This window comes from Homo sapiens, chromosome 1 (assembly GCF_000001405.40).
Source record: "Homo sapiens chromosome 1, GRCh38.p14 Primary Assembly".
Classification (NCBI taxonomy): Eukaryota; Metazoa; Chordata; class Mammalia; order Primates; family Hominidae; genus Homo; species Homo sapiens.
In genome coordinates this window covers 163,923,010-163,934,446 of record NC_000001.11, presented here as the reverse complement: position 1 = coordinate 163,934,446, position 11,437 = coordinate 163,923,010, and the positions used below count along the sequence as shown (strand labels likewise).

Below are 11,437 nucleotides of genomic sequence, written 5' to 3'. Positions count from 1 at the left end.
AAAGTAAGAGGGGAAAGACTAATGAAGTAAACAGAAGACCAATTTATAATCTTGACTCAAAAAGGTATTATTTCATGACTTAATGTAAGTTCAAATACAGTTAATTTGTGTGTGTACTGAAATAGTTTATCAATTAGTCAAAATATAAAATTGCAAAAAAAAGTATTCAACATTTCTAGTCTATTAGCTAACATTGGTTTTAAATTACCTGGAACCTTGGGCTAGCCGTGGAAGTAAAACACAACATATATTTAATCAATACATCTATAAATTATATAAAAAATGCAGCAATTAAATCCACTTAACAATCATGCAAAAAGAAGCTCATCAACTCTTCCAGCATATGGAAACTTGCAATTGCCAGCTCCCCTCTGTCTCAGAAAAGTACTGTCTATCTTAAAACTGCCAAACACAGGAAGTAACCACTCAGTAAATTTTTTATTTTATACACTCAAAAAGAAATGGGCTCTGAGTATCCTCCTTTACCTGGGAGATAAGACACTGATCATTTTGCTGACTCTCAGTTGGAAGGAAGCCAGGGTAATAATGGCTATCTGAGGATCTTCAAAGATTTAATCTTGGAGATGAGTTCTTTGCAGGGCTCAATTCCTTTTGCTTTGCCAACCTGTCTGCTTTCTGAAATGGCCGTTAGCGTAAAGGTACCTGACAGAGGTGTACACCTCCTGAAAGCCAAATCATGGAACTACATTTCTGCAAAGCTCAGCTGCACTCACTGGAGGAGACTACAGTGCTGCTTAGGATCAACAGCTGTGCTGCCTGGGTCCCTGCAACCAAGCCCAGACTTTGTGTTTACTGAGCCCAGGCATCTGTACAGCAAATATGCACACACGGTGGAGGATGTGTGGGAGGGTGGAGGAAGAGAGGGAGCAGGAAAAGGAAATCTGGAAGCAGAGCTTCAGTTGATAGAATTCATTCATCATTCATTCATGTGCTAATCATTCATTCCTCAAAGGTTTCTGCATACCTACTATATGGAAAACACTGTTCAACATGTTAAGATACAAGGAGAAACAACACAAAGTCTCTCCCCTCGTGAAGTAACATTCTATGGGGGAAAAAAACTATAAGCAAATTTAAAAAAAAAGATAATATGAAGGAGTGATAAGTGCTATGAGGAGAAATGTAGTAAAGTTAGAGTAAGGCTAAGCTGCTATAGTAAAGAAATCCAATACAAACTCAGTGACTTAAAGAATTTGATAGAAGTTTGTTTCTTGCTTAATAATTTGAGGCGGGTGTTCTAGGTTTGGGGACAGCTTGCTCCAATATAGACCTAGTTTCCTTCCGTTGTGTCACTGAAGAATGCCACAGGGCCATGTTGTTATCTTCATGACTGTGACACAGTGGCTTTCTTGAAGAAGGAGGTCCATGTGGTTTTAACAGAGTTAATGGGAGGGAAAGTGAGAAGCTTGGGGCCACGTCATGAAGGGCCTTGTAGGTTTTGATAAGGTTTTGGAATTAACTCTCTGTGGAAATAGCATCAAAGGAGAAAGAATCCTGAAGGGGAAAAAAAGAGAAAGGACCTTTACATAATGTTGGCTAAAGCTGAAGCACAAGCTGAGTAGAGAGAGCTGTAAAAATGTGAAACACCTTTCTCCACGTAAAATTCATTGACCTTGTGGCCATCAAATGCGGGGGAGAAATCCATTTTATGATCCTACCTTCCAACTGTGGATATCATGGGCTTTCCAAGAAAAGAGATTTTACTTCTTTGGGTTTATGTTATCATTATCAAGAACAAGTATTGAGATAGTCTTTTAACTGCCACCATCGTTCAAGAAAAAGATTACTGAAAGTACTTTAGCCTACGGTATTTACAGCAATTCCTCCTACTACTTAACGTTTTATTTACACTAATGAAAAAGCACTTAAATTCATTTGTATAGGTTGCTCTTTCTCAGAGACTGAGAATAACGAATATGCACTATAAATATATGAAAATGACTGATTTCATTATTCTTCCAATAGTTGTTCCCGATAACAGGAATTTAAAATGCAGACTGAAGTTTCACTTAATGCACTACAAAAGCGACAATTTATGTAGCTTTTCCCTGCTAATGAATGCCTTTCCCAATTATTATCTAAGCAGTTTGTAAGTGGACAATTAAAATTTTACTGTTTCTCCTCAATAGAGGACATAACATTAAAATAGAGAACTCTTCCTACTTTTTACTTTAACAAGATTCAAAAATCAGACTTTCAAGAAATAAATTCTCCTGCTACATTGTCCTTTCATTGCACGCATTATGGAAAAACTCTGATCCTAACTTAAATTAGTTATTTACCTTATTTGAGTATGTATCCAAGATGCTCAGTGCTGCTACAAAAAACAAATAAAAGACTTACATTACAAATTGAAAACATTTCTGTATCTTCAGCCACGTCCAACAATTCTAGTATAGTTTCCTAATTAATTTTCTTACCTGGTCTAAACCTGCTTGGTTGTTTCCAGTTTTCTCCCTGCTCTTTAAACATTTCAGCCTCAACAACAATCTCCCCTCCTCATTAGCATACAGGAACCCTATACTTACTGACACCAAATTTACTAATCTGTACACGTTCTCCCACTCTGTTTTCTCTTTCCTTCTTGTTAGGGTAGAAGAAGTGCCTCATTTTCGCCAAAGCCAAATGCTTACCTGTGCCCTGGGTCCCATCCTCTCTAGCATCCTTAGGAATTTTATTCATTGTTCAGTGCCTCTATTTTCAGTAGCTTCAACCTTTCCTTTTCTGCTGGCTCTTTTCTATTATCCTTTAAGTGTTTCTCTCATTTTAATATTCCATCTCTCTTGCATTTCTATAGGATTTATTGCTGTCCCCATTTCCTTAATTTCTTCTTATTTCTTTTCTTTTTTTTTTTTTTTTTGAGACGAAGTCTGGCTCTGTCGCCCAGGCTGGAGTGCAGTGGCGCGATCTCGGCTCACTGCAAGCTCCGCCTCCCGGGTTCACTCCATTCTCCCACCTCAGCCTCCCGAGTAGCTGGGACTACAGGCGCCCGCCACCACGCCCGGCTAATTTTTTGTATTTTTAGTAGAGACGGGGTTTCACTGTGTTAGCCAGGATGATCTCCTGACCTCGTGATCTCCTGACCTCGTGATCCTCCCGCCTCGGCCTCCCAAAGTTCTGGGATTACAGGTGTGAGCCACCGCGCCTGGCCACTTTCCTTTTATTTCTACTTCGATTCCACTGGGGAGATTACTAGTCTGGCTTCTGTTTCCATTACTCCACTGAAACTGCTTTACTCAAGGTCATCAGTGAAAGCTTGTTGCTAAATCTAATGGGTACATTTTGTAGGCATCTTTTAAGTTGTCTAGAGTTTTGACACTCACAATGTGATTCTCAGAATGGTGGCATCATCATCTCGAACTTGTTGGAAATGCAGAATTTCAGGTCCCATAGCAGACCTACTAAATCAGAATCTCGGCAAGCGGAATCTCAAGGAATTGTGTTTTAACTATAAAGTAATTATAAATAGTGTTTTCTTTTGCACACTATAGTTTGGTAACTACTAATGTAAAGGATATGTAACAGTTCTTCCAAATTTCACACACAGGATCCAACATTGTTCTTTCAACTCCAGGCACCAGTCATACGGCTAGACACTCCTATAGCCTGTAAAATTTTTCCTTGGGAAGAATATAGTTGATGGGTAAGGTATGTTAGCTTTCCCTTCTTGACCCTGTAGTTTTTCAGGCCAAGGAGAGGTTTATGTCTATTGCAGTTAAAAAGAGTTAGGTTGGGTCACAGACAGCTGTCAAAGGGAACTTAGGTACCAACCACACCAATTCTGAAACAAATAAGGATTCATTCTTTTATGGTATTCCTCCCTTTTATTTCTTATTTTTGAAACAGAAACAGAAATTGTTTCAAAAATAAGGAAATAAAAGGGAGGAAATAGTTTTATTTTTTACCAGTTCTCAAAGTCTATGACATCAGCAATAGACATTATTCTACATGAGTTATTGGCTTCTATACAAGTCAGAATTGAAGCTGTTAGCAATGAAGCAAACTGTGGTTGACTAGGAAGAAATTAAAATGATATTGGGGGAGCTCAAGAAATAGGTGGGAGGGCTGACCAACCAAGGTTAAGCTTGTGTTTCAGAAATGTCACCCACAGTCATGTTCCAGAAGCGGTCTGATGAGGAAAACACTGGTTCTGCAGCTCCTGAACACCGATGCTATGGTTGGCAGGTCCACTACTGCTCTATCACAAAGTTGACTGTGAAAAACGATGGCTCAACGCTTCTGCCACTACCTTCACCAGAACATAGATTCCTCATGGTTTTATTCCGTTATGTGGCTCACTTCTCAATCAGAATCTCCAGCAGATGTTCTACTCTCCCTTTAACATTTTATTTAGAAAATTTCAAATCTAGAGAAAAGTTGAAAGAATAATATCATTTATTAATATTCTCCAGCATGTGCTTTTGGTAGGTGGCACTTGGATCATATACTTGCACTCTAGTTGCAAAGAAAGCCAGAAAAATATCATTTCTAGTAATAATTACCTAACCTACTAATTTTGACTCAACAAATTTATCATTCTTACAGTTATATAATTCAGTGATAATTAGGAAAGCAACCACTTTTACAGTCAGGTCAGATTATCTAAATACACATATGTTCTATGTGGCTTTTACTTCTTTTTCAAGGCAAGATAATCATCCCCTTTAGGAAATTTTTCGTACAATGTTTTCAGTCTTCATTTTTCTTTACCTTTCTGCACCATTTGATATCATCTTATATTGTTTAATGTTTACCTTCCTTGTAAGATGTAAACTCCATGAAAGTGCAAAGTGATTCTGAGAGATGTTTCAAAAGTAGATCCTGTGTTTTATCTCTAGTGCTTGTCACCAAATAAAGTCTAAGGAATATATCCCGAATGATTTTAGATGTGAAAGAAGAATAGGCTAATGAGTAAGTTTCAAAATACAAGTTCAATTCCTAACTTGCATTTTCCCACTTATAAATTTTATTTTTCTTTGTGTTTTCTGACATATAATTTATAAATTTATTACTAGCTCTACCTCAGTAAAATTGTATAAAAATTCCACAAACTGATATTAATATTTGAGGTAAGGAGATTTTGAAGATGAAAGATATTTTTTGAAGTGTAGGTAAATACTGTTGAGGGTGTTCTGTTTGACTTGTATCCCCATTTATATTAATGAAACCGGGGGTGTTTTTTCAAATTAAAAAGATGAGATCTAGAGGAGTCAGGAAACTTGTCCGAAACCAATCATAGAAATACTGAAACTAAAAATCATGTTGTTTAGGTATCAGTCTATAGTTACTTTTCTACTACATAATGCTGCTCTTCAAATTTTTACTAAGAAATAAAGATTTTTTAATATTTATCTAATATAAAATCAAATATGTAACTTCTCCAGAGGATAACATCATCAAAACAGAGAAAGAGCCCTACATTAATACAGAAAGTCTCATAGCATCTTAGGGACTATGTTGTACAATTTCTCCCAAGCAAGAATTCTAGCTGCAGCATCTATTATGCATTTGAATACACATAGCCCACTCTTAGATCTGCCACTTCCTGATTGTGTTTTCTTTCACATTGATTTCCTGCAACTTCAGCCACCTCAGTTGTTAGGCAACAGTAAAAATATTTACCCTGCTTACTGAATAAAGAAACTGGGAGCATATAATAAGCCTATATAAGTGAATGCTCTTTGAAAAAGCCAATTAATATAAATACATGGTAACTTAGGAGAGATTTTTTTTGAAAGTCTCATTATACAAAAAGGTAACTTCAAGAAGAATCCCTCACTGGATAAGTCAAAAGCCCTATACACCATTAATTTCAATTCTAGGGAATACTGCTCTAAATATTATGCACCTGTATTCCCAAGCTCTGTGCCATCAGGCTTTTGTTCATTTTCTTTCACTTAGATTTTCTGATTTGTCTCTCTGACCATAATGCTAGTATCAAACAGTGCAGATGTCTCCTCTGTTCTTGAGACAGGCCTGTTTGGGAATTTCAAAGAAGTGGAGGACCATATCCTAGGGCTGAAACAGTTTGTAAGTGGTTCAGTAAACTCTGTTGCCAGAAAATTTCTGCAACAGTATTATAAGGCCCATTTGTATGAATGAGGAAATAGAAACTGTGAGAGGATCCCTAGCTAGCTCACTACTGGTAAGTAGAAGAGCAAATATCAGAGCCTGTATCTCTCTGATTCCAATTTCTGCTCTCCAGGGAACCAGGGAGTTCAAAACAGGAAAGGGAATAAAAGCTGAGCAAAACCAAGGCTAAGAGCCAACTGGGAGAAGAAATAGAGTTTTAAGATTTTAAAAGGGTACTTAAATTCTGTATTTAAAAAAGGAAGAAGAGATGGAGAAGTAATTTCAGGGAGTTGACAGAAAGAGAAAACAGTTTATAGTTCTCTTATCTGGAGGATTTGGAGAGTTGTTAGTAAATTTTATTGTTTTAATTTGAGAATAAATCAGCATCGCCTTGGGCAGCACAGCTGTCACTATCAGCAAGAGAATAACACAAGATCAGATTCAGCAAAGAACTATGGAAAAAGACAATTGTCCCCATCCTTCCAATCCTATAGAAGGATCATGTTTGTAAGGGGTGGAAAATTAGGGGCTTGATTTGATTAATTTTAATGTGTCAACTTACCTGTACTAAGAGATTTCCAGATAGCTGGTAAAACATTATTCTGGGTGTGTCTGTGATGGGGTTTCTGGAAGATATTAGCATTTGAGTCAACAGACAGTGTAAGGAAGTTCAGCCTCATCAATGTGTGTGGGCATAATTTAATCCTTTGAGAACCTGAATAGAATAAAAGTGTGAAAGGTGAGCAAACTTGCTTTCTGCTCAAGCTGGGACATCTATCTTTGCCTGCCCTCAGACATTGGCACAACTGGTTCTCGAGACTTCAGGTTTGAGGTAGAATTATACCACCTTCTTTCCTGGGCCACTAGCTTGGAGATGGCAGATCTTGGGACTTTCAGCCTCCACAATTGTGTGAGTCAATCCTCATAACAAATCTCTTTATCTATATCTATCCTATTGGCTCTGTTTCTCCGGAGAACCCTGACTAATACAGAGGTGTCATCACTTGGTAAACTGACTCTATGCATTATTTGCAGTCGTAGAAACAAAGTTGTTTTACCAGCCACAACATTCACTATTCATCCTGATTCACTCTAATTTTGATAAATATTATTTAGGGTATCAAACCTGAGGAGAAAACACAAACAGTAGAATGAGCTGTTCTTTTTCTTTTTTGTCTTCATCTTATGAATTCTTTTTCTTGGTAAATAATGCTTTAACATGTTACAATGTGCTTTCATGTTAGGATTTTCAGATATTACATGGAACATACCTACACTAAAATATATTTGTTGTTTATCTGAAATTCAGATTTCATTGGTTGTTCTATATTTTATCTGGCAACCCTATCTTATCTCCATTGTTTTCACTTGAGGTCCACAACAATCTTGTTGTGGTTAAGAATTATAATAATTTTCAAATAAATAAGCTGAGATTCAAACCTTTTAATTGACTTTTCAAAATTCTCTTAAGTCCCTAGATACAGGGTGATGTGTATTGTTGCAACTAATGTAAGTCTGAAACTGTTCAGCAGACTGAGAAAAAGAAATACAGTGACAGAGGCAGAGGGACAAAGAATAATGAGGAAATTAAACAAATATCTGACATTGAAGATCTCACCAGCAGGGCAGGACTATATGTTTCTAAAAAAAACATGTTGAAAATAGATCTGATTTAGATGAGATCCATAATCAAGCCATCTGGTTTGTGAGCAGAGCATGACAGCAAGAATGCCCCCAGTGAAAATGGTATCACTGGATCTTATATAATAGCAAAGGGAAACACAGTTATTCCGAGAAGAAGATCAGAATATCAGCTATGGCTGTGAATGAACTGACGGGGTCTAGTTTTTAGAGAAGAGAAACAGAAAAAGAAGTAAGTGCCAAATACAGTCATGGCACAGAGGAGGGAATACTTGAACTGGGTTTCAGACGCAGAAGGAAGGTATCAGTCATTCAGGGGAAAAGAACATTAAGGGAAGATATTTGATTTTCTCTTTTCACCAAAACCCCCAGATAGATTTAAAATTAAATGTACAAAAAGAGGAAAAACTAAAATAGAAGAAAATACAAATGTACATTGAATTGGGGTTCTCCAGAGAAACAGAACCAGTAGGATATGTATGTATGTATGTATGTTAAAGAATTGGCTCATGCAATTGTGGATGCTGAGCAATCCCAAAATCTGCAGTCAGCAAGCTGGAGACCCAGGAGAGCTGATGGTATAGTTCCAGTCTAAGTCTGAAGGCAAGAGAAGACCTATATTCCAGTTTGAAGACAATCAGGTAGAAAGTGCAACTTCTTCCTTACCCCACCATCTTCTCTATTCAGGCTTTCAGAGGGTTGGGTGAGACCCACTAACATTGGAAAGGATAATCTGCTTTACTCAAATGTTAAACTCATTCAGAAACACACTCAGAGGTACACCCCAAATAATGTTTAACCAAATACCTGGGCACCCCATGGCCAGGCAAGCTGACACATGAAGGTAACCATCACATACATTAAAGTCATTTGAAATGGCCATGGACTTTCTAAGCATAAATTCAGTGAAAGGAAACTCAGAAACTATTTCAACCACATACACATACAATATTTTTTGTCTCTCCAAACACCATAAAAACTTAAATATTAATTGTCAAATAGGGAAAAATGCAATATATATGGCAAAGCATAGATATCTTCACTATAAAAGTTTTATAAAACATCAGGAAAAACACAGATACCTCAACAGAATAAAAGGAGGAAAGGAAGATGGAAAGTTAATTAATAGAAAAAGAAGTACAGATATGATTTAACACAGTAGAAATCAATGAAATATGAGTTACAATAAAACAATTTTTGTCAATTTGGCAAATTTTAATGGCATAATTATTAGTGTTAGTAAGAGTATAAAGAAAGTTCTATGCCACACGTGCCTCACGTGGGAGTCAATTTTGTACAATTTGTTAGGTTAGCAATTTGTCTTCTTAGAGAGGTTCAATTCAAGCTCAGATTTTTGTTAAAAAATTCAGAGAAGTATTTAAAATAATGAAAATAAAAATACCTCAAATGTCTTACAACACAGGATCTGTTAAGTAAGCCAGTTTCCTCTAGAGAAAAGAATACTAGATAACTCTTGGAAGATGTATTTTGGTGAATATTTACCGTATTGGAAAAGTCTCTAGAGAAACAATTAAGTGGAAAAACAGAGGGGAAAAAAGCTATATTTTTGTAAAGCACACAAACACACACACACACACTATAAAGCACTGGAAGGAACTCACTGAAACAATAGTAAGTTTATGAGTGATTTTAATATTCTTCCATATATTTTATATTTTAACTTTTATAATCATACATTTAGTATTTTGAAGTTAAACTTTTTAATAAAGTCAACGTGCATACTGAAATATGAACAAATAACAAAGGAAGAGCTGAAAGAAATTTTACAAACTTGAACACATTCTTGTAACTACTCACCAGACCAAGAAATAGCTCACTATTCGCATTCTCCCAGTACCTATCTTGGGACAGCTATCTTTTACTTACTTTTACCTGATTTTGACGTTTGTGTAAGTGGAACATATAGTATCTCACTCATTATGTTTGGCTTCTTTTGCTCCAGTTTATGCTTGTGAGGTTCATTCTTCTCATCTGCAGCAGTATTTTGTTCATTCTCTCATTACTGTATAATGTTGCATTGCCAAAATTTACCACTATTAATTTATTTTTTCTATTATAGATTGGGGTTTGGGCTACATTTTTCGATGTGTCTTTTGGGTGAACATAAATACACAATTTTATTTGGCATGTACCTTGAAGTGAATTTACTGGTGTATTAGTCCATTTGCACACTGCTATAAAGAACTGCCTGAGGCTGGGTAATTTATAAAGGAAAGAGGTTTAATTGACTCACAGTTCAGCATGGCTGCGGAGGCCTCAGGAAACTTACAATCATGGCGGAAGGTGAAGGGGAGCAAGGCACCTTCTTCACAAGGCAGCAGGAAGGAGAAGTGCTGAGAGAAGGGGGAAGAGCCCCTTACATAATCATCAGATCTTGTGAGAACTGACTATCATGCGAACAGCATGGGGGAAACTGCCCTCATGATTCAATTACCTCCACCTGCTCCATCTGGTCTCTCCCTTGACGTGTGGGGATTATGGGGATTACAATTCAAGATGAGAGTTGGGTGGGGACACAAAGCTTAACCACATCAACTGGATTGTTGCCATTTGTCTGTTTAGCTTTATTAGATACTACCAATCTAAGGGTAAAAGTTTTTACCCTTGCTGGTGGTGTATAAAATGTCTAATGGCTTCACATTCCCACCAACTTTAGTATTGTCAGATGATTTCTTTGTTTTGTTTTGTTGTGGTTTGGTTTCTTCAGGTAAGCAATTCTGGTGGGTGTGTATTTAAGTTATTGTGATTTTAATTGATGTCTAATAGAATTGAGCACCTTTTCATATATTATTGGTCTTTTTTTCCTCTTTTAAGAAATATCACTCAGATTGCATTCTCTTCCCCTCACTCTCCCAAAGGAAGAGAAAAATGATCAGCAATGGCAAACGGCAGTTGCAGCAAACCAGTGCCAAGAGCCAGCTTCAAGCTCAGGAGAAAATGCTGCTGTCTGTCCTCATGGTTTTCTGGTTCTTTAGGCATTCAGAAAAACTTCTCGCATAATGATCCCTGAAAGAATAGTCTTTGGATATACACTATTGGAATTCTTCTGCATTTATTCTATTAATACGTAGTAATTACTTATATATACAGGTCATGAGTCCTATGTTGACTATATTTATTACAAATATCTTCTTCTAACAGGTAGTTTGCCTCTTGGCTCATAATGGTGCTTTATTTTTGTTATTATTATTGTAGTAAGAACACTTGATATGCATAATACAGTTAACTATAGGCACAATGTTGTACAGAAGATCTATATAACTTATTCATATTTTATAACTAAAAGTTCATAACCATTGAATGCCGTATATGCCCCTCCATCCATTCTCCAACAATCACCATTCTGCTCTAAGTTTCTGTGAGCTTAACTATTTTAGATATTTGATATAAAAGGAATCATGCAGTGTTTGTTCTTCTGTTGAGACAGGCAGGCAGGCTGGTTTCCTAATTTAATGTAGTTTAGAGAAAAAGAACAAAAGCCCTGTACTCAAGCTATAGCTTACCTAACTTCAAGCCAATCAGCAGCAAAAGAACCAAGGCACTATTTACCACAAGTTCCTGTCATGGGCAGAGGAATTGCCTGGCCAAGTTCCCCAGGGCCTTTCCTGCACAGTTAGACTTAAACTTCACCTTACAGTGACCTCATTTCAATGCTAAAAATTATGCCCAGGGGTGGAGATTT

At 36.8% G+C, this 11,437-nt stretch overlaps 1 pseudogene; it reads right to left on the bottom strand.

Annotated features, from left to right (window-relative positions):
- Nucleotides 1-10,573: 10,573 nt before the first annotated feature.
- Nucleotides 10,574-10,777, bottom strand: LOC124904671 (uncharacterized; annotated as a pseudogene).
- Between the last annotated feature and the right edge of the window lie 660 nt (nt 10,778-11,437).